The 24,304-nt window shown below is 37.3% G+C and overlaps 1 protein-coding gene across 2 annotated transcripts in view, besides 2 other annotated features; it reads left to right on the forward strand.

The window, feature by feature from the left end:
* Nucleotides 14,795-24,304, forward strand: part of CCDC152 (coiled-coil domain containing 152) — a 45,622-nt gene continuing 36,112 nt past the window's right edge. Inside the window, exons 1-3 of one of the 2 annotated variants that reach the window (NM_001134848.2) lie at nucleotides 14,795-14,862; nucleotides 17,097-17,185; nucleotides 20,420-20,525. In NM_001134848.2, coding sequence (NP_001128320.1) covers nucleotides 17,099-17,185; nucleotides 20,420-20,525 — 193 coding nt within the window. In that variant the 5' untranslated portion in view covers nucleotides 14,795-14,862; nucleotides 17,097-17,098. Of the gene's footprint in view, nucleotides 15,264-17,096; nucleotides 17,186-20,419; nucleotides 20,526-24,304 lie in introns of both variants that reach the window. The other variant, XM_047416584.1, reaches the window with a different exon arrangement.
* Nucleotides 14,850-15,351: an enhancer, noted in NCBI's record as "H3K4me1 hESC enhancer chr5:42756975-42757476 (GRCh37/hg19 assembly coordinates)". NCBI's record gives its function as "activates a minimal SCP1, AML or CMV promoter by ChIP-STARR-seq in naive and primed H9 embryonic stem cells {active_cell/tissue: H9 hESC(naive and primed)}" and the evidence as "EXISTENCE:reporter gene assay evidence [ECO:0000049][PMID:30033119]".
* Nucleotides 15,352-15,851: an enhancer, noted in NCBI's record as "H3K4me1 hESC enhancer chr5:42757477-42757976 (GRCh37/hg19 assembly coordinates)". NCBI's record gives its function as "activates a minimal SCP1, AML or CMV promoter by ChIP-STARR-seq in primed H9 embryonic stem cells {active_cell/tissue: H9 hESC(primed)}" and the evidence as "EXISTENCE:reporter gene assay evidence [ECO:0000049][PMID:30033119]".

The following is a 24,304-nucleotide window of genomic DNA, read 5'->3' on the forward strand; positions in this document are numbered from 1 at the left end:
TCACACCAGGCCATCCACTGGCTGAGTGCCACTAAATGACTCCAGTTGATGCTACAAAGAGCAGAATAATTGCTTAACTAGCCCTATCCAAATTTCTGATCTGAATATGTGTGCTATACTAAAAATGTTGTTGTAAACATCAGTAAGTTTGGGGTAGTTAGATTTGCAGCAATAGCAACTAGAACACCTGGAGACTAGAGAAGAGTGATATAAAGAAACCCTGAAAATTGAGAGCACCTGTGTGTACCACCATCTGAAAAATAAAAGAGAGTTACACATATACAATACAGCTACACATACTCTGGTAAAATTTTCACATTTCAAAGAAACCTAAAATTGCCAGGATTTCAGGTATAAGTCTGTCTCCTGCATTATAGAATGTTTAGCGCCTCTGGTTTCCAGATACTAATTCTAGTAAAGCCAGCAGGCATTGTGACAATCCATAGACATCCTTACACATTTGAAACTGTACAAATAATAAAACTCATTTTTCACTAATCTTACAAATTAAATTGCATTCTTTCTATAAACACAAACATTTGAAAAAGATATTACAAGAATATGACATCATAGAATTTTCCAGCTATCTTAACCAAAAGCTTTTTGCAGCTTTGAAATTTTTAACACTTTGTTTTAGAAACTTCTTAGAAGAATTTTAAACTTATATCAGGACCTTGAGTGTGGTATCAGTGTATAGGTTCAGAATTGCAAGCCCAGGCAACTCCCTTTGGGAGATGAAGAGGGAAAAGAAAAATCTCTACCATTAGGAAGGATTTTTTGAGGTGCCAAATCCTGGTAATTTTCTTCTCAGCTTCATCTTGAAAAAGGAATACATTCTCATTACTACTTAATTTTATATTACAAACTTGCAAGGTTTCAAAGCTATCAGAAATGCTCTGTAAAGCAAATCTCATTGCCACTCTAAGGAATATGCAATTACAGTAAAATTCAATAAAACTTGTTTTAAGCTGGAGGCATCATGCTACCTGACTTCAAACTATACTACAAGGCTACAGTAACCAAAACAGCACGGTACTGGTACCAAAACAGAGATACAGACCAATGGAACAGAAGAGAGGCCTCAGAAATAATACCACACATCTACAACCACCTGATCTTTGACAAACCTGACAAAAACAAGAAATGGGGAAAGGATTCCCTATTTAATAAATGGTGCTGGGAAAACTGGCTAGCCATATGTAGAAAGCTGAAGCTGGATCCCTTCCTTACACCTTATACAAAAATTAACTCAAGATGGATTAAAGACTTAAATGTTAGACGTAAAACCATAAAAACCCTAGAGGAAAACCTAGGCAATACCGTTCAGGACATAGGCATGGGCAAGGACTTCATGTCTAAAACACCAAAAGCAATGGCAACAAAAGCCAAAATTGACAAATGGGATCTAATTAAACTCAAGAGCTTCTGCACAGCAAAAGAAACTACCATCAGAGTGAACAGGCAACCTACAGAATGGGAGAAAATTTTTGCAATCCACCCATCTGACAAAGGGCTAATATCCAGAATCTACAAAGAACTCAAACAAATTTACAAGAAAAAAACAAACAACCCCATCAAAAAGTGGGCGAAGGACATGAACAGACACTTCTCAAAAGAAGACATTTATGCAGCCAAAAAACACATGAAAAAATGCTCATCATCACTGGCCATCAGAGAAATGCAAATCAAAACCACTATGAGATACCATCTCACACAAGTTAGAATGGCGATCATTAAAAAGTCAGGAAACAACAAGTGCTGGAGAGGATGTGGAGACATAGGAACACTTTTACACTGTTGGTGGGACTTTAAACTAGTTCAACCATTGTGGAAGACAGTGTGGCGATTCCTCAAGGATCTAAAACTAGAAATACCATTTGACCCAACCATCCCATTACTGGGTATATACCCAAAGGATTATAAATCATGCTGCTATAAAGACACATGCACACGTATGTTTATTGTGGCACTATTCACAATAACAAAGACTTGGAGCCAACCCATCAATGATAGACTGGATTAAGAAAATGTGGCACATATACACCATGGAATACTATGCAGCCATAAAAAAGGATGAGTTCATGTCCTTTGTAGGGACATGGATGATGCTGGAAACCATCATTCTGAGCAAACTATCACAAGGACAGAAAACCAAACACCGCATGTTCTCACTCATAGGTGGGAATTGAACACTGAGAACACTTGGACACAGGGTAGGGAACATCACACACTGGGGCCTGTCGTGGGGTCGGGGGAGGGGGGAGGGATAGCATTAGGAGATATACCTAATGTAAATGATGAGTTAATGGGTGCAGCACACCAACATGGCACATGTATACATATGTAACAATCCTGCATGTTGTGCACATGTACCCTAGAACTTAAAGTATAACAAAATAAAAATAAAAAATAAAAAAATAAAAAATAAAACTTGTTTTTACCAAAATTGAGGAAATGGGCAATTCTGGATAGAGTTCTGTATATCATATTATGTATAGTGTAATACCTTACATTATTGCAACTTTTATCAGGACATTTTGGTCATCATATATCTCAGCTATATTCTAGTCCCTTTGGCCTTATTTAAAGAACAAAATGTCCTTATTGGACAATATCTGTTTACTTTTGCTTGAAAACTTCAAGAATTATGATAGGCTAGATCTCTAATGATGTGGCTGCAAATTGTGGAAGTCAAGAGTATAAACATCTTTGTTACTGTCTTGCTGTGTATTAGGGAAACCATCCCACCTCCCCCAAACTCATATCTTCGGACAGAAATTTTATTGGATGATTTGTTCTTTCTCTAGTACTCCTTATATCAAATAATAACATCAGCATTAGAGATGGTCCAAGTTACAAAATATGAAATCCACCAAAGTCCGCTCTCCCTGACCTCCAAATATTCATTCTATCACCAAGATTCAGCTTCTGCCTATCCCTAAAATTTTCTCTTCCTTTTTTAAAAGTTCAGACGTTTCACAACTACCCCTTCTATAAGCTCTGGTCCCACCAAAAGTTTCTTTCTAAAATACATACCTACTCATGCCAAACCTTTGGTTAAAACATGTTGATGCCATCCTACTGCCATAAAAGTAAAGTCTATACCCCTTAGCCTGATATTCAAGGCTCATCACAAACCTGTCTTGTGGTCCTAGTCTTGTAAAGTTTACTTTTGGGCACTTCTAACCTTATCATCACCTACAATCAACCCTTAATCAAAACTCTGAGCTTTAACTTTGGCACGATGATTTTGATGGACTTTGTGGATTTTATTTTTAAGGAATTGACTTAGTGGACTTAACCCTGTTTTGTATCCTGACTTTTCCTGGCCCCATCAAATCTGACCAATAGAAAGAGCCATGCCTCCTCCCTTGACCACAAAAAAGGCATTTCTGAAATAACCAAATTCATCTGTATTCTTTTGAATAACCATTCACACAGCTTTTTTCTGAGCTCATTTTAAAGAAATGTTTACACTGGTCCATGGTTATAAAAACAGCGGACGTCAGTGAGAAAGCACAAGAGAGATCCTGAGAGATGCCTGCCTTCTCAGGAGTTTGTACAAAATTTTGATGCAGTCAATAGGGGGCGCTGCTCCTCTCTCCTCCTCGGCATCTCAAGCATTCCCAGCATACAAACTCTTGTCCCTAAACTTCCAAGCCACACAAATAACAGGGAAGCTAGAAAAAGGTAAAAAATTGTCAGGGTGAGAAGGCAGGAGTCAGAAGCAGGGCCAGCTTCATGGGTGTGTGATAGCACAGAACCCCTACATAGAAAGGCTATCTAAGTCCATTCTGGCTGCTATAACAAAATACTGTAAACGGTGTAGCTTTTAAATAACAGAAATTTATTTCTCACAGTTCTGGAGTCTGGAAGTTCAAAATCAAGGTGCCAGCAGATTCTGTATCTCTATATCTGGCGAGGGACTGCTTTCTTATTCAGATGGCGCCTTTAAGTTGTGTCCTCACATAGTCAAAGGGGAGAACTTTGGTCTTTTCAGCCCCTTATAAGAGCACTAATCCCATTCATGAAGAAGAACCCTCATAACCTAATCCCCTCCTAAATGCTCCGCCTCCTAATCCCATTAAATTGAGGATTAGGTTTCAACATATGAATTTGGAGGAGAACACAAATATTCAGGCCATCTGCAAGGGCCCACAGTTGATTGTATGTTCTGCTGTTCCATCATGAAATTCTTAATAATTGAATAGGGGTCTCACATTTTTATTTTGCACAGGACTCCACAAATTATGTGGCCTGGCCAGCTCTGGTCACAGGGTTTGGGGCCCAGCACTTCTACCCACAGTTAGCCTCCAATAACAAAAGGTTTGATATTGGATTTTCTTTGTCAACTTCTTTTTACCATCCAGGCTCAGATATAAAACATTTTAATCCCATCTACCCCTAAAATTGGTTATAAGGTATTTTGTTAGTGCTCATTTTATATTACCACTTCCTAGCTCAGCAGCTGATTTTCTGCCCAGAGCCTTCAGTCAAGGGAACAGGCTGTCATTTCTTTCTGTTTGACCTAGATTCTTTCTTTAAAAATCCTAACATAAACTCTTTCAAGATGACTATAATGACTTAAATGGAACTGGAAATCACCTTTCTGCAGCAATATCACTCAAGACATGGGAATAAGGTTTTTATAAAGCACATTATGTAGCTGAGGAGACAGTGACACTAAACAAATTGAGAAGCATTCAATGCCATATGAAGTCAGTGGATGAATTGTTTGGTAAAAGTTATAAATGATATAAATTAATAAATTACTATTTATATCTTTAATTCTCTTTAAACTATATACACAATTACCTGGGAGATTCTGATCTCTGCTACTATGATCATTTTTAGTAGTAAAAAGTCAACATACTTTAAAAAGGGAAAAAGAAATAACTGAAGGATTTTCTGCCTTAGTTGAAGAATATTGTAAACTCAGTGAGATTAGATTGATTATTCAAGCCCAAGAAGCCCTGAAGTTACTTCCAGTGGAGGCATGTCTTCTGAGGTTACAACTCTGAATTTGGCAGCACTTATATTAGTAACAATATGAACATCTTTGATCAAGAATACACTAGACCTTCTCAACAAATAACATAAAATAGAGCTCCCTGAAGTTTCATTTCATTCGGTGATGATGGCTCTCCTTCAAAAACAGACATTGTCATTCAATGATGCATCAAAATATCTCAAATCCTAAGTGACTGTCAAAAAAAATCCTCTTAAAAGAATCTCAGAAGGATGGAGTCCATTTTAGAGGAAAATGAGTTGTGTGGATGAAAAGTTCATCTTTAGGAAAACCTAAAACTGCTTTCCCAAGAAGCCAGAAGGTGAAAATAGCAGTGCAGGAACCAAAGGAACAAATAAAAATGTTTAACAACTCTAACATGCAAATGGAACAGGTTGTAAGTAACTGAAAACCACTTATGGTCTCTAATTAGATTAGATTACTAGCTCTCTTTAGAATCAGAAAATGGAAGCCACTATTGATAATCTTTATCAATCAAAAGTCGACTTGAAAAAAAACCTCATTGATAGTGTTAACTTAAATGTTTCCTTTAATAAGGCTTGAAGAAGAAAAACAAAATATATTTTTAAAGTTTCTGTGAAGAAAATAAAAGAAGCACTTAGAGTTCAAATGGAAAGTTTCCAAACTGGGCAAACATTTATAGTCTGAAATGCACAGCTTAAAAATGAAATTCAAAAGCCTCAGCTCAAACTTCAGATAGTGCTTGAACTGCATCAAGAACACGTAATGCAACTTTGCAGAAAATTAATGGAGGAAGGAATTTACCACTTACAAGAGAGAAACCAAAAAATTTCCCAAAATATATAAAAACATGGCCACATACATCTGAAGACAGCTCCTACAGGGAGATGGCTGAAAGCCTGGGGTAAGAATAAGCTCCTTCTATCAAAGGAGTATTCTCTGCCATGAGGAAAAAACTCTAGAAAGATCGTTGGAGCTTTGTGAACTAACAAGATATTCAAAGAGCCACGAAGAGAAAATGGTCACAACAGTCAAAATTTGGTAGAAGTAGAGTTTAAGTTTCAGTTTTTTCCAGGTGGCCCCTTTTGTCATTGCTGTTCCACATACAGTCCCAGGCAGAGGCCAGAGAGGATCAGGAGATCCGCTAGACTCTCAGGTCCTCAGAGAAGGAGGATTGCATTGTGAGGACTCAGGGATCTGGTGTCACATACAGGCTGACAGCTTTCACAGCTGCCGACTCTGAACATCTACAAGACATTTGACTGTGTTTTCTCCCTTAAAAATAACTTTATTTCTTTTTTGTTTAATTTCAGTTATTTAATTAATGCTACATTTGCTGTTATTGAAGTTTGATAGAATCACATTTTCCCAAAATACTGTTTTGTGAATATAGGTGGTTTAAATGTAATGCTTATGAACATATTATTTCAACTTTCTTGAACCCTCTAGAATTAAACAGTTTAATTGCATTAAACAGGCCACTACTCCTTAAACCGCAAACCACTATTACATGACCAGGTGGAGCCATTTGAAACAGCAAACCATTTTTATATGCTAAGAGATGTTATTTAAAATATCTAAAAATAACAATATCTACCTCAATAAGTTTTCATTGGTTTTAAAAGCAACACGCACACATGCAAACACACACACACACACACACACACTAGTTAAACAATTTTTGTTGGTTTAGCCCTAAATCCATAGATTAATCTGGAAGACTGGACATTTTGCAAGCATTTGCTTTGTGTTTTGTAATTTCCTTTTAATCTTTGTTATTTTGTTTAGGATACCCTATACTGTTTAAATATTTCTAGGTATTATGAAGTCAAACTAAGAATTTTCACTTAAAAATTAATCGAATTTACTTATTTTATATCAAATGAATTCATCCCAGATTTTTAATTTAGTTGTTAAGCATTCTGGATGTATTTTTCATAGGAACACTATCAGATCACCACTTGAAAAGAACACAGTTTTGAAATTATCTTTCATTTCATGTTGGAGAAGAACACTTGACCAGAAGAGAACAAGGAGGCAGATGGTGGCTTCTGTGAGAATGATGAAGAAGACTCACAGACACTTCCAAGGTCTGCAGCATTGGTGTAGTGGTTTCCTATGTCATACTTTCTTTTATGTGAGTCACACTGCATTTATTTGCCATAATTTCATTTTCATAACATAGGAATGGATCCCAGAGAGAGAGAGATAAAGATTCCTTAAGACTAGTGGGCACAACCTGTGTACAGTAGAAAGATGTGGTTATAGTGGTGAGAAAGCAGTTGCCTGAGGTAGAATTAACTGAATAGTGAAAGTAAAATGGCAAAGAGTAGGCCTCTCACTGAGGGTTTGGGCTCATCAAACAAAATCTTGATCCTTTCTGACCTCATTAAGTGTCTTTTCAAGAAGATATGATATCCTCAACGTTTATAGACACTCTGCTGTGCCTTATACTGCCTATTCATATATCTAGCTTCAATTTGTTCATTTTTTGCTTGTTTTGGTTTGGTTTTTACTATAATCTTTTCTGGAGACACTAATGGCAGGGCTATGAATTACTTTTTTTGTAGGAGTCAGAGGGTGAAGCACATCCAAATTGGATCTGTTCGCTGTGGTTTTCTTTTTCTTTTTTTTTATTACTATAAGTTCTGGGGTACATGTGAAAAATGTGCAGGTTCGTTACATAGTTATACACGTGCCATGGTGGTTTGCTGCACCCATCAACCATCATCTACATTAGATATTTCTCCTAATGCTAACCCTCCATTAGCCCCCCGACCCCCCAACAGGCCCCAGTGTGTGATGTTCCCCTCCCTGTGTCCATGTGTTCACATTGTTCAACTCCCACTTATGAGTGAGAACATGCGGTGTTTGGTTTTCTGTTCTTGTGTTAGTTTGCCGAGAATGATGGTTTCCAGCTTCATCTATGTCCCTGCAAAGGATGTGAACTCATCCTTTTTTATGACTGCATAGTATTCCATGGTGTATATGTGCCACATTTTCTTTAACCAGTCTATCATTGATGGGCATTTACCTTGGTTCCAAGTCTTCGCTATTGTGTTCACTGTGTTTTAAGAGTCATCTGCCTCTACAGTTTCTCCATTTCTTTTTTGATATTGCTCAAATATTGACAACTGCATAGGAAGATATGTACACTCCTATATGTAGATGATTTTTAAAAAGCATTATCTCAAAAGTTACTTTATTTTGCTAACTACTATTAGAATGAATGAGCATATTTCAATTTTTCTTACACAAAAATCATTTGGCAGATGTCCTCTCTTAACTAATACAACAAACTATTTTTCCCCCTTTACTTAGGCCTGCATAATGGAACTGTTATTTTGACAGGTTTATGTAAGGGTAATTATTGGTAAACTTTTTGCAAAGTGGCTATAATTATTACCTTCCTGTATTTACCCCCTTTGCAGCTCCTGCCATCAATAGATGGAGTCTGTTTCTTCGCTACTTGAGTCTGCGTGGCCTTGTACCCTGCTTTTACCAATAGAATGTGTGGAAGTTGCTGTAGGCCAGTGCTGAACCTGGTCCTCTAGAGCAGGGGTTCCCAACCCCCACACTACAGACTGGTACTGGTCAGTGGCCCATTAGGAACTGGGCTGCACCGCGGGAGGTGAGCAGCAGGTGAGGAAGCGAGGTTTCATCTGTATTTACAGCCACTCCTCATTGCTTGCATTATCGCCTAAGCTCTACCTCCTGTCAGATTAGTGGTGGCATTAGATTCTCACAGGAGTGCAAACCCTATTGTGAACTGTGCATGCAAGGAATCTAGGTTGCACAGTCCTTATGAGAATCTAATGCCTGATGATATGTCACTGTCTCCTATTACCCCCAGATGGGACCGTCTAGTTGCAGGAAAATAAGCTCATAATGATTCTACATTATGGTGAGTTGTATACTTATTCATTATATATTACAATGTAATAATAAAATAAATAAAGTCTACAATAAATGTATTGTGTTTGAATCATTCTAAAACAATCCCCCCATCCCAGTCTGTGGAAAATTTGTCTTCCACGAAACCAGTCCCTGGTACCAAAAAGGTTGGGCATCACTGCTCTAGAGGGCCTTGCATGTCTGTGATTTCTTTCTCAGGATGATTAAACTCCTTAAGAACAAGCCTGGCTGAGCCTGCTAGAGAATGAGAGACCAAGTGGCAAAGTGACAAGAGTGATACCAACTAAGTCTCCAGAGACTGAGAGCCCGGCCCAGATGAGTAAAACTAGCTAAGCCACTTACCTGAACGATGGCTAACCGCCAATGCATTAAGAACCCAGCCAAGACGAGAAAACTTGCCTACCTGATCCCAGTTTAAACTGCTGACCTTAAATAGCATGAGCTAAATAAATGGCTGTTTCAAAGCACTGCATTTTAGAATGGTCTATTGTATCACAAAAGCTTGCTGATATAGGAACTAACATTGTTCATTGGTTCATTCTTTCTTTTATTCAACAAATATTTATTTCTGGCCTACTCAAAGCCAACCCAGGTTTGACACATTTATCCTAATCTTCAGAGGTTTGTTCTCATTTTATAAAGATGAAATGGAAGGGCAGAGAGATAAATTGACTTGCTGAGGACCACACAACTAGTAGGAGCAGAGCCAGGATCTGAAGCTAGGAATGTTGAAAGGCTCATTAACCTGCCCCCACCAACAATGTTATCACTAAGAAGGTAGGTTATGAAAAAGTTGATGTTCTCTGGGAGCAATGGAATATTTTAGGCCCAAATTGTCAAACTTATGCTCTATTATGACATTGAAGCCATCATGGATCACTTGTTTATGTACTGGAACAGACTTAAGACTAAATTTTGAGAAAAAGTCTGACTTCTTCTGAGAATACCACATAGCCACCTCCAAGTAGTTGTTGAATACAAGGCCATTGAAAGCTGGTTAGACTATTTTATTATCACAAAAATACTACCCTTACCATAGACTCACTATCTAAAGTATATTTATGTCAATAAATTAAGTAGAATAGCTTCACTTCCTGTCCTCATCCAAAAATGCAAACTCTGCCCAGATAGCAACATTGATTCTACTCTTAATGAAGCTCATTAAAAGATGGAATATTTATATATCTAAGTAGGATTGTTTCAGGAAAAGTAATCCAAGTACTGCACGGTTTAGACTTTATTTTAGAATCATGTTCAAATTCCCCTGTCCATTTGGAAAAGGATGGGGATTAGTCTAACCAACAGTGTTCCATTGGGTCATAAACCTGATGCATGGAATGTATTTTACCTAATTACTGCAGGAAATGCTGAGAGCTAGAGATCTACAGAACTCGAAGCCAAAGTTGCAGTTGAAGCCAAGACAATATGGTCCAGAAACAGATACTGAAATATGAGAATTACGTAGAGAAACCAGAGGAGGGAGATAGTGCATCAAGAGATCAAGTAGAGGTTAAAAGTAACCCTAGCATTTAAATGTTGCCCACAGCTAACATTTTTTTTTTTGAGACAGAGTCTCACTCTGTCACTCACTGTGGAGTGCAGTAGCGTGATCTCGGCTTACTGCAGTCTCCACCTCCGGGGTTCAAGGGATTCTCCTGCCTCAGCCTCCCTAATAGCTGGGATTAAAGGTGCCTGCCACCATGCCCGGCTAATTTTTTTTTTTTTATATTTTTAGAAGAGATGGGGTTTCGCCATGTTGGCCAGGCTGGTCTCAAACTTCTGACCTCAAGTGATCCACCCACTTCGGCCTCCCAAAGTGCTGGGATTACAGGCGTGAGCCATCATGCCCAGCCACCCACAGCTAACATTTTGATGGAGGACAGTCGCTGAGTAAATAAAATAAAAGTGAGACCTGAAGGGTACATTAAAATGTTAGCCCTTCAGTTCTCACTTTTATCTTATCTACTCAGCGACTGTCCTCAATCACTGTAACTGAAGCACCTCCCACTCACTTTTAAAATCGATATCATAGATTTGTGTTTCTTCGCACTTATTACAATTTTATGTATAGGTAATTTACTCAATGTATTACCTATTTCCCTTTTAAACTATAAGTCCTCTAAGGTCAGGGGCCAATCTGTTTTGTTTATTCCTAGTTTTCTCATAGACCTCAGGACATAGTTGGTGCTCAAGTATTTCTTGAATAAATAAATGTGTAATTACTGATAATCTTAAAAAGGCAAAGGAAAGAAATAAAAAGCTCTAAAAGCTTTCTACACAGAAGATCAATGCTTCTCAAACATTTATATGCACATGAATCACCTGGTAATGTTGTTAAAATGCAGACTTTGATTTAGCAGTTATGGGATAGAGTCTGAGACTGCATTTTTACAAGCCCGCAGGCGATGCCCATGTTGCTGGTGCAGAGACCACACTTTGAAAAGCAGGGGCCTAGATCATGATTCATTATGATTGCCATTTCTGATCCAATCTAGCCTTTTTCATAGAGATACTTCGAAAGTGTCTTAAAAAGCTCATTTCCACCTTTACTCTCAGGCTAATATTGAGGAAATTGCCTATTAAATTATCCAGTGCCTCCTATATGAATCTTAATGTGAAAAATTAAGAAGTTAGAGTTAGGGAACATGGTTCCTCCTGAGAAACTTGTATGTTTTCTCCTCTTTTACAAAAATAAATAAATAAACTAAGTAGTTAAGCCTGTATCCTTTTTTATTCCAACCATCAGTAAATTCAAAGCCAAATTTGTAGCAGAAATATAAAAACTTTGTTGACCTACAGGCCAGAGTATTTCTGTTTTATTTCTCTACTGCTCTTCAATTTCTAATTTATATTTCACCTTGTATAGGTGAAATATGTATGTAGCATTTTTAAATAAATATTCATGGAAATGAGAGCAAGCTGAAATTTCAGCAGTTGGTGAATTTGATTCAAAGACAAAAAGCATGGCCTAAACAGAGGTAAGAATATCGAGAGAGTTAAATAATAGGGCTGGAACAAAGGACTCCATAGATTAGCCAAACCACTTATAAACATTTGCTGTGATATGGGAGCAACACCATAATATTTTGTTGTTATAATATGCCGGTGATAGTAACTAAAATAATCAAGTGAGATTCCAATGCCAGAGCAATATTGCCAATAACATACACTAGATTTCAATCCTCTGCTAGTCTCTCCTTTGAGACTGTAAGCTCCAAGGCAAAAGGAGAGTCTCTTATTTGTCTTTGCTCTCCTTAGTGCCTAGACTTGCAGCAGCTGATGTTTTGTAAGTACTTAAATATTTTAGAATGAATTAATGAGTGAAGCTGTTTTCAACCTAAAAAAATCAATGTATCACTCATTTTAAGATCTTTATGTACATAAACCGGTAGCTTCTGATTTTTTTTCAGCTGCCCAGGTACATATGCATTTCTCTTCCAAATCAGGGTATTTTTAATGAATTCCAGTGTTACTTTCTTTGTTAGTATGACAAAATAATGTAGTTTGTTTCTCTATTTTGGTTTTCCAGGCAGTCTTAAAATATATATTAAATAAATCCTTGATCTATCAGAAAATAAATATTCTCTTTTTTCCCAACTTTTATTTTGGGCTTGGGGGGTACATGTGCAAGTTTGCTACATGAGTAAATTGCATGTTGCTGACATGTGGTGTATGAATGATCCCACATCCAAGTAGTAAGCAAAAATGAATATTTTCTGAGCAAATATTTGATGAATTCTGTTTCTCAGTTGGATGGTATCTGAAGAATAAGACTGTGAATACAACTGTGAAACACATTCACTTTTTAAAGATGAAATCATGACAAGTTCATTTAGTTTCTCATTGAAAGATGCACTCTAAACCTACTAGAATTCTTTGAAAAAAATGCTAACATCTATAAACTGGAAGATAAACTTGCAACCCATTCTAAACTAGAAAAATTAAGCTAAACTTTTCTGACTTATTCCTGATGTGTTGGTTCATTTCTATTTTCTCTATGGTAGGCTCTATGGAGAAATATATACATATACATATATATGTGTATATATATATACATATATGTGTGTTTGCATATATACATATATATATATATAATATTCCAACTTTCTTAGTCTCTACATCCCAAAATCATTAGATAGTCAAAGCTTCTGTATTTCAAATGTTGGAACATCCAGAAGATTTGGAAGTACAGATGAGGCAGGGGATCTAGGGAGCTCCCTCTCCACCTTACACATTCCAGTCACCACATATTTTCAAAGGACTCCTGAAATTTGCCTAGGATGGGCCTAGGTGGAACTTAATACATACATACATACATACATACATACATGCGCGTGTGTGTGTGTGTGTGTGTGTGTATATATATATATATATATATATATATAAAGAAAATAGAGTTTCTTCCCCCAAGGAGCCAATAATAAATACAGCAAAAGAGGTAATACATCAATTCAGTCTTAACAAATGCCACAGAAAGCTAGCATGTTCCATAGAGTAAGGAAAGGTAGATCACAACTGATTGATACGATCAGTGAATGACTCATGGAGAAGGTAGCATTTTAGCATTTAGGGTCTTAAAATGGGCTTGTTTCAAAAGTTATTATGACATGAGTTACATGGAACATTTTATATTTGCTAATTGGGTAGAACCCGCAATTCAGCAGGTCATTTTCAATATTTCTATGTGTTGCTACTAATGTTAGGGAAAGCTTATTTGAGCAGCAGAGTGAAGACTACAACCCCCATTTTCCACTTTAACCTAATTTTCTTGCCATTATGCCACACTACCTTTCAACTAGTAAAGTATGGGTTATCATATTACTGTTTATATTTTTTCACTTGCCAAATTTTGGAGTCTATCGAAAAATCACATTAACAAAAATAAACCTCCCATCTCCCACTCAGAAAAAAAAAAAAAAGCAGATGAGCAAAGTTGGCAGTGGATTCGCTTTCAAACTATTACTGAACAACATTCAAAAATTCTAATAATTAACATTTCTGAACACTTACTTTAAGCAAGGATCTCCATTAAGCACCTTATAAATGCATCACTTCATTTAATCATCACAACCGTCCTAAGAGGCAGGCTTCTTTTTTTTTTTTTTGACTGAGTCTTGCTGCTGCGGGTCTCGGCTGGAATGCAATGGTGCGATCTCCGCTCACTGCAACCTCCGCCTCCCGGGTTCCAGCAATTCTCCTGCCTCAGCCTCCCAAGTAGGTAAGATTACAGGAGCCCGCCACCACGCCTGGCTAATTTTTGTATTTTTAGTAGAGACGGGGTTTCACCATGTTGGCCAGGCTGGTCTCCAACTCCTGACCTCAGGTGATCCACCCCCCTCGGCCTCCCAAAGTGCTGGGATTACAGGCGTGAGCCACAGCGCCCGGCAGAGGCAGGCATTATAATTAATCTCTTATACAGATGAAGATGCTTAGGTGCATGAAATTAAGAACTTACCCACTATCACCCACGGAAAAAGAGAAGAGTTGGGGTTTGAATCCACGCAAGAGCCCACGCCCTTAATCATTAAGCTACCAAGATATAACTCTGTAGATGGGAAACCATATCTATTAACTGGCTCTGGAATTTTAAAAGGCAATTTTATAAGTTACAAAAATAGATATGGATAATTATTTATTCAATGGAGCTGACTCACAATTCAGAACACCCAATGTGATTTATTCTTTGGTTGGGGAAACAATTATTGATCCGGTGTTGATTCATGTTCTGGAAACCACATGAAAATACCTAAGCAGCCGCAGATGCTGAGCGGAGCTGGGCCAAGTTGGTAAGAACTGCTGGTGGTAGGAGCTCCAGCATAGCGCACAGGGCGGGCCCAGAGAAAGGCGGGCCCATTGTTGGGGGATTCGGCTTCCGGAGGAGGGGACAGCATTCAGGGGTGTACCAGGCCCCAGAGGCAGCGGAAAGGGAGACTGTGGGGAACTAGGAGCAACAGCAGGTACACTCCAAATTCTATTGACGGTTCGAAATTCCCGCTTTCTCCATAGAGATTCCTTTCTTCATATTTCATTACAGTGCTCTGGGTCCATTACAGGCTTTTCTTTTCAGACACCTCTCTCACATCCGCGGGTCCTCGGCCCCCATCCTTTATTTTTGCTAGGCCGCTAAGGACGCTAGAAAGCGATTCGAAACTCCCGCTTTTTCCATAGAGATGCTTTTCTTCTTATCTCCTTACAGTGCTCTGGGTCCATACAGGTTTTTGTCTCAGGCACTTCTCTCACATCCGCGGGTCCTCGGCCCCCATCCTTTATTTCTGCTAGGTCCCTAAGGACACTAGGATGACGGAGAGGGAGCCAGGGGACCCAGGCTTCAGGACTGAGAGTGAATTCTTGAGGGGAGGTGAGGAGGAAAGAGGAGGGACCAGAGCGTGGGGCAGGCGAGCGGCGAAGGACCAACTGTGTGGGGTAGGGGAGAGGACGAGCCCCGGGACTCAAGCCAGCAGACAGGAGGACCCAAAAGGAAACGGAACTGTCACGCTCCTGTGGGGATGGTTGAAGCCAGCAGGCAAGAAGACAAAGAAGGAAATGGGACTTTCACTTGCCTGTGGGGACGGTTGAAGCTGAGCCTTGAAGGTCACAAATCAGTCTCTGCGGCTCACTAAGGAATTTGACAAGCACTGAATCACCAGCTTGACACCGAATTTCACAGGGCAAGACCATATTCACTGAAAGGATCTTGACCTAAGAAATCAGAAGAGCAGGCAATGAAGATACCTAGAAATGAATTGCCTGGCTCTGCCATTATGGCAAAAGGGATATCATGCAACGATAGCAAATGGAATATTAGTGATGGTTTTACAAGGAAATAACAGGGTCTTCTTTGGGGGAAGGAGTTGAGAGAAAATCAAGCTCAAATTTAAATGCATTTATTTCAAGAGCCAGATTCTGAGACAAAACCCTAGTAAAACCTTTTTTATTTAAAAGGTTAGGTACCAAAAAAAAAAGGTGGGGGTGGAGGGAGTTTCCATTAACTACTTCAGATTACTATGTAGCACTATTAAAGAATAACAGTACTATCAAACAGCAATTATTTTTAATTTTACTCCAAAAGGAATTTTACTGTATCATGGGAGGCTATTAACAAATATTTTTCTGCTGTAAGGATCAAGTTTTAACTATTTAAGGGATTTTATATGTAGTTGTGCTTGCATATGTCATACATAAGATAATAATTCGAGATAATAATTCAAGAAACAAAATATACAGCCAAAAATCTGAGATTTAAAAACCATTAATAATTGCTAATGCAAAATATTTCAAAAGAAGAAAATGAGATATCTTGATGAAATAACATATTGTCAAGCAATATCTGTTTTGGTTAACTTCCTTTTAAACAATAATATGCCCCCAAATTGCTTTGAGTAACTACATCAGGAATTTTACTTACATTTTACTTTGGACTAGTTACCGCTTTCACACACCATACATTGGTTCATGTTTTTTCCTCAACCTAACATCCCTGAATTTCAAACTTGTATTTTCCCTTTCTTCTTTGCTATAGAAAAATCTAAAGACAAGTGTCTCATACTTGTTTACATTACATCTGAAGATGTAAACTCATCCAGTCAGAATGGATAAATTGACTTTTGCAAAATAGCCAGCATTTACATTCTGGGATTCTGAAGAAGTTCTTATGATTGATTTCATAGGACTAAAACTGAAACTCTTATTCTTCAGCAGTTAGCTGGCTATCCCCAAAGGTTAATCCCTTATACAAAATTACAAGACAATAGAAATGCAGAGAGATTGCTTTGAGCACATTAACTTCCATGCATCTTTTATTTACCAGTTTACCAAACAAAATATAAGAAATAAGCATAACAGCAGAAAACATCTGTGACATGATAGTTAAACAAGTATTTTTAACATCTTTAATTAAGAATAATTACAGTTAAAAGTCATGCCTCAGATTTAATATTGCATTAGGTTTTAATGCAGTAAAGAAACAAATATAAATAAGTCAACTGGGGTGTGGGTGGTAAGGAGTGGAAAAGACAATGCATTTGACCACTGTTAATATTGGTTATAACAAAAATTCTCGCAGTGCAATGGAGCCCAAGTAGGTGCCCTATGAGTTGAATATAGAAATGTTAGTATTTGAGCTATGAACACTATTGTGGTGCTTTAGATCTTATTTATTTATTTAACACTATCTACTGTTTACTACTTTCAGGCATGGACCAAAGCAGTGAAGGATGTATGAAAAAGATTAGCAGTGTGAATCTTGACAAACTTATAAATGACTTCTCACAGATAGAAAAGGTATGTAAAGATAGAAAACAATTCTACTATATAGGGATACATGGAACAGATTTTGCCAAGGGAAGAAGTTGGGAAGAAAGAAAAATATACCAAAAAATGATCAAGATAATAATATTATATTTTGCTATGCTCTTCTCTCTCATTTTAAAACTCCATGTTTAAAATATATCTGGCTTGGATTCATTTGTACTAATACATCAAAATGTCCCTATGACAGGGAAACAAATAATTTATGTACTTTTGCCAAAGTCAAACAGAAAATACATATAGTAGTCCCCTTATCTGAGGTTTTGCTTTTTACAATTTCAGCCACCTGAGGTCAACAGTGGTCCAAAACTATTAAATGGGAAATTCCCAAAATAAACAATTCATAAATTTTAAATTCTGCACCATTCTGAGTAGCACGGTGAAATCTTCCATTGTCTCTGTCAGTCCTGCCCAGGTTGTGATTCATCCTTTTGACCAGTGTATCCATGTTGTATTATAGACCACTTGTCTGTTAGTCACTTGGTAGCCACCTCGGTTATCAGAAGGGTGAGTACAGTACAATAAGATAATTTCAGAGAGAGAGACCACATTTATGTAACTTTTACTACAGTATATTATAATTGTTCTATTTTATTATTATTGTTATTAACCTCTTACTGTGCCTAATTTATAAATTAAACTTCATCATAGTTATGTATGTAGAGGTAAAAACATACTATATATAGGGTTCAGTACTATCTGTGGTTTCAGGCATCCACTGGAGGTCACGAACATATCCTTCCATGGATAAAAGGGAATTGCTATACTTGAAAGCCTACATTGTCCAGGCAGGGCACGGTGGCTCACTCCTGTAATCCTAGCACTTTGGGATGCCGAGGCGGGCGGATCACGAGGTCAGGATATCGAGACCATTCTGGCTAACACGGTGAAACCCCGTCTCTACTTAAAATACAAAAAATTAGCCGGGCGTGGTGGCAGGCTCCTATAGTCCCAGCTACTCCGGAGGCTGACGCAGGAGAATAGCCTAAACCCGGGAGGCGGAGCTTGCAGTGAGCCGAGATCGCGCCACTGCACTCCAGTCTGGGCGACAGAGCGAGACTCCGTCTCAAAAAAAAAAAAAAAAAAAAGAAAGCCTACATTGTCCATAAACTCAGGAATGGTTTTAGTAAACATTGAAGTAAATGCATATTTCAATCTGTTATTATAACTACTCATTTTTTAGTATTTCCTGTTCTATCTCTTCCATTTTCCTTCTTTTTTGCCTAAAAGCAAAGCCATTTAAAGTCTGTCTCCCCAACTCTGGACAAATGGTAGACCAAACCCACAAGTGTGTATTGGGTTTATCCTCCCTCCTCTGCCTTCAATAGCTGTTGAAAAATGTAGGTGGTTAAATGAAAGAATTGGGAAGTGACTTTGTGAAGCAAGAGTGGGAGGGAGGCTAATATCTACTTCTGTTTTCTCTTCTTTTCTTGTAATTCTTTTCTATTCCTTCTTTTCGTCAGCACACACACACACAAATGTCATAATGAAAGAATTTTTATGATCATGCGTATTTTGAAGTAACATGAGCTTTTTTTAAACGGTAAAGTTAAGTGTTCTTAACCGAGTGATTCCTAACATAATAAGAGATAAAAGAGAAAGGAATAAGAAGCATTTTTGGTGGGAAAGGAGTTAGTGCAATGATTTTGGAAATTAATTTGGAAATATCTGTCATATTCTTAAACACTTTAAATAAGAAATAATTGTTCATTTTTGAGGTGATGATGGTATTGTGGCCATATTTTGAAAGAGTCGTCTCTTGGAGATACATATGGATGGTAATATTAACAGATGAAATAACATAATGTCAGAGAGTTGCTTTGAGATCAATTCAAAAGTGGTGAGACTAGGGCAGTGGATAGAGATACAGATGATATAAGACTGTTCATGAGTTGATTTTTGAAGCTATTTGAAGAGTATATGGAGGCTTATTATACTATTCACAAAAATACCCAAGAGATATGGTCAAGAATGTTTAACCATTACAAAAAGTAGAATATGGCCTCTGTCTGTCTCTCTCTCAGTAAGAGACTGGTTAAATAAATTACAGCATATTCAAAAATGAAACTGAATGTAGCTGTTAAAAAGAATGAGGTAGGCCAGGTGCGGTAGCTCACGCCTGTAATCCCAACACTTTGGGAGGCCAAGGCAGGTAGATTGCCTGAGCTCAGGATTTTGAGACCAGCCTGGGCAACATGGTGAAACCCTGTCTCTGCTAAAACACAAAAAATTAGCCGGGTGTGGTGGCGTGCCCCTGTAATCCCAGCTACTCAGGAGGCTGAAGCAGGAGAACTGCTAGAGCCCAGGAGGCAGAGGTTGCAGTGAGCCAAGATTGCCCCACTGCACTCCAGCCTGGGCAACAGAGTCAGACTTCATCTCAAAAAAAAGAAAAAAAAGAATGAGGTAGATCTATGTGGGTTTACATGACATCATCTCCCAGATAATAGTACTAAGCGGAACAGCCAAGGCACAGAACAGAATATAATATGATTTCTTTCTATAGCTGTACAGTCATAAAATATTTTGGAAACATATATAAGGAATTGTTAACCATGGGACTGAGAGTTGAATAGTTGGAAAGAAAGTGGTTCAAGTTAGGTCATATTTTTACTTTTCATTTATAACTGCTAGTCTGTTTTAATATTTTACCATGTTACTTTTTAATTTGAAAATAAATTGGGAAGTGGGGTTATTTAAAATACAGTCATATATTGCTCAATGACAAGGATATGTTCTGAGAAATGCATTATTAGGCAATTTTATCATTGTGTGAATGTTATAGAGTATATTTACGCAAACCTAAATGGTGTAGCCTATTACACACCTAGGCTTTATGGTATAGCCTACTGCTCCTAGGCTACAAACCTGGACAGCATGTTACTATACTGAATGTTGGAGGCAAGTGTAACATAATGGTAAGTATTTGTATATCTAAACATAGAAAAGGTACAGTAAAAATATGGTATAAAAGATAAAATTGTTACACTTGTATAGGGCAGCTCCATTATAATCTTGTGGCACCACTGTTCTATATGCAGTCTGTTGTTGATCAAAATGTCTTTATGCAGTACATGACTGTATATGTATTTTTTTATTAGACTATCAGATATTAAGTGGTTTGTATTTTCATTAGTCTGCATATACTTAATAAAAAATTAAACTAGCAGCATTGATTTGTTAATAATAAGTATTCTATTTCTTCTACAGAAAATGGTAGAAACCAATGGAAAGAACAATATACTGGATATTCAGTTGGAAAAAAGTAATTGCCTATTAAAAGTAATGCAAGCAAAGGAGGTCTCCATTAAAGAAGGTTAGTTATTTGCTGCCTGAGGAATGCTAATTCTAATGAAAGTGTTTTTCAGTTCAACAGTGATTAATATTACACCATATATTTGTAAAGTGTTTTAAGTCCACATAGAATTTTCCAGATTATCATCTCATTTATATCCTTACTATAGCCCTGAAAGACATGTAAGATGGGTATTATTACTCTACCTCACCAATGAAGAAACATAGAATGAGACAAGTTAAATAATCTTTCTGAGACTGCTCAACTTTCTGAGGCCAATAAGAAATGGCCAATTGAAGTCTCAATACAGGCCTATAAAAACCATAGGGAAAAAAATTAAGTTGAATTTCTACCTTATAATTACATCAAAATAAATGTCAAATGTGTCAAAAAAATTGTGTTAAAAATGAATCTGTACACATATATTGATTTGCTCTGTCATCTGAGAGAGCCTAGAGGCAATAATGCCCCACTGACATTGAACATACCTGGTTCCCAGATCTTGGTTCCTTACACCATTCTCTAATAAAAGGAACCAACGTTTTTTTGAGACATGGCTGATTATAGCACTGGGGCAGGAAATATGCACAATAAGCCTCAAGCATCTTGTAAGGGCAGAAAGTAAGAAAGTCCTCAAAAAGGAAAAAACAAACAAACAAAAAGCACCCCACAGTGATGGGAGTATGTTGAAAGTGAGACAAAAGCCAACTGAAAGAGCCGAAACTGGAACAACATGAGCTAGCCCAAAGTATAAAATAAACATCCATAAATCCTTACTGATATAAATAAATGATTTAATAAATAAACAATTGGGGAAGAAGACACACATCTTCTGTGCAGAAGAATTACAAATGACTTTCGTAGATATTTTGCCCTCGAGGAGGAAGAGCATGGCTCCACACTCATTAATCGTGGGCTCAATATAGTCACTTTCTTTACTATAGTGAAGACACAGTATGGAAAGGGTGAGGGTAGGGGAAAAGTAACTACAAAGTGGAGAAGCCTGACAAATACTACCTCAGCAGAAGATCAACATAAATTGTTATATCATATTGATAGTATATACTCTCGATAAGATACAATAAAGATGGCAATTCTGTGGTCTTTCTCCCCAAAACCCATAACCCTAGTCTAATCATGAAATAAATATCAGAAAAATTCTCATAGACATTACAAAATACCTGATCAGTATTTGCAAAACTGTCAGAGTCATCAAAACTAAGGAAACTCTGAGATATTGTCACAGCCAAGGTTTGAAGATATAGCCCTAAAAAGTAAAGTTTATTAAAAGTTAAAAAGATGAAACCACAGAAAAACTAGAAGAGAAATGTAGGGTTTTTATTTTTATAATGGAGAAGGACTTTCTAAGTGTATGACACAGCATATAGAAACAATCAAAGAAAGGATTTGTACTTTTGACTCTAAAAATTAATAAACTTTTTGGAGCAGTTTTAGGTTTACAGAAAAAAATTGAGTGAAAGTACAGAGAGTTTCCGTATACTCTCTCACCCCACCACTTCCCTATTACTAATATCTTGCATTAGTATGGTACATTTGTTACAGCAGATGTGCCAATTGATCCACTATTATTAACTAAATTTCGACCAGGCATGGTGGCTCACACCTGTAATCCCAGCACTTTTGGAGGCCGAGGAGGGTGGATCACGAGGTCAGGAGTTCAAGACCAGACTGGCCAAGATGGTGAAACCCCGTCTCTACTAAAAATACAAAAATTAGCCGGGCATGGTGGCAGGCGCCTGTAATCCCAGTTACTCGGGAGATTGAGGGAGGAGACTTGCTTGTATATTCAAACATTTGAAGAAGAAATAATACCAATCCTACTCAAACTGTTCTGAAAAACAGAGGAGGAGGAGGAGGGAATACTTCCACACTCATTCTACAAGGCTGATATTACCCTGATACCAAAATCAGACAAAGACACATAAAAAAAAATAACTACAGGCTAATATCTCTGATGAATACTGATGTAAAAATCCTCAAAGTACTAGCAAACCAAATTCAACAATACATTAGAAAGATCTTTCATCATGACCAAGTGGGATTCATCCCTTGGATGCAAGGATGCTTCAACATATGCAAATCAACCAATGTGTTACATCATATCAACAGAATGAAGGCTAAAAATTATATGACCATTTCAATTGATGCTGAAAAAGGATTTGATAAAATTCAACATTCCTTCATGATAAAAACCCTCAAAAAACTGAGATAGAAGAAACATAACTCAACATAATAAAAGCAATATATGACAGACCCAAAGCTAGTACCATACTGAATGGGGAAAAACTGAAAGCCTCTCCTCTAAGATCTGGAACATGACAAGAATGTCCACTGTCACCACTGTTATTCAACATAGTACTGGAAGTCCTAGCTAGAGCAATCAGACAAGAGAAAGATATAAAGGGCATCCAAATTGGAAAGGAAGAAGTCAAATTATTCTTGTTTGCAGATGATATGGACTTACATTTGGAAAAACCTAAAGACTCAACAAGAAAACTATTAGAATAAACAACTTCAGTAGAGTTGCAGAATACAAAATCAACATACAAAACTCTGTAACATTTTTATATGCCAACAGTGAACAACCTAAAATAGAAATTTAAAAAGTAATCCCATTTACAATAGCTACAAATAAAATTGAATACCTAGGAATTAACCAACAAGTGAAAGATCTCTATAATGAAAACTGTAAAACACTGATGAAAGAAATTGAAGAGGACACCAAAAAATGGAAAAATATTCCATGTTCTTGGATTGGAAGAATCAATATTGTTACAATCCCCGTACTACTCAAAGGAATCTACAGATTCAATGCAATGCCTATCAAAATACCAGTGACATTCTTCAAAGAAATAGAAAAAACAATCTGAAAATTTGTATTGAACCACAAAAGACCCAGAATAGCCAAAGCTGTCCTAAGCAAATGAAAAAAACTGGAGGAATCATATTACCTGACTTCAAATTATACTACAGAGCTACAGTAAGCAAAACAGTATGATACTGGCATAAAAACAGACACATAGACCAATGTAATAGAATAGAGAACCCATGAACAAATCCACACATCTATAGTGAGCTCATTTTTGACAAAGGTGCCAAGAACATACACTGGGGAAAAGACAGTCTTCAATAACTGGTGCTGGGAAAACTGGATATTCATATGCAGAAGAATGAAACTAGATTCCTGTCTCTCACCATATACAAAAATAAAATCAAAATGGATTAAAAACTTAAATCTAAGACTTCAAACTATGAAACTGTTACAAGAAGACATCAGGGAGATTCTCCAGGACATTGGTCTGGGCAAAGATTTATTGAGCAATAACCCACAAGCACAAGCAACCAAAGCAAACACAGACAAATGGGATCACATCAAGTTTAAAAGCTTCTGCACAGCACAGGATACAATTAACAAAGTGAAGAGACAACCCACAGAATGGGAAAAAATATTTGCAAACTACCCCTCTGACAAGGGATTAATAACTAGAATATGTAAGGAGCTCAAACACCCCTATAGGAAAAAAATCTAATAATCCAATCCAAAAATGGGCAAAAGATTTGAATAGACATTTCTCAGAAGAAGACATACAAATGGTAAACAGGCATATGAAAAGGTGCTCAACATCATTGATCATCAGAGAAATGCAAATCAAAACTATAATGAAATCTCATCTCATCCCAGTTACAATGGCTTATATCCAAAAGACAGGCAATAACAAATGCTGGTGAGGATGTGGAGAGAAGGGAACCCTCGTACACTGTTGATGGGAAGGGAAATT

This window comes from Homo sapiens, chromosome 5, assembly GCF_000001405.40.
Source record: "Homo sapiens chromosome 5, GRCh38.p14 Primary Assembly".
Lineage (NCBI taxonomy): Eukaryota > Metazoa > Chordata > Mammalia > Primates > Hominidae > Homo > Homo sapiens.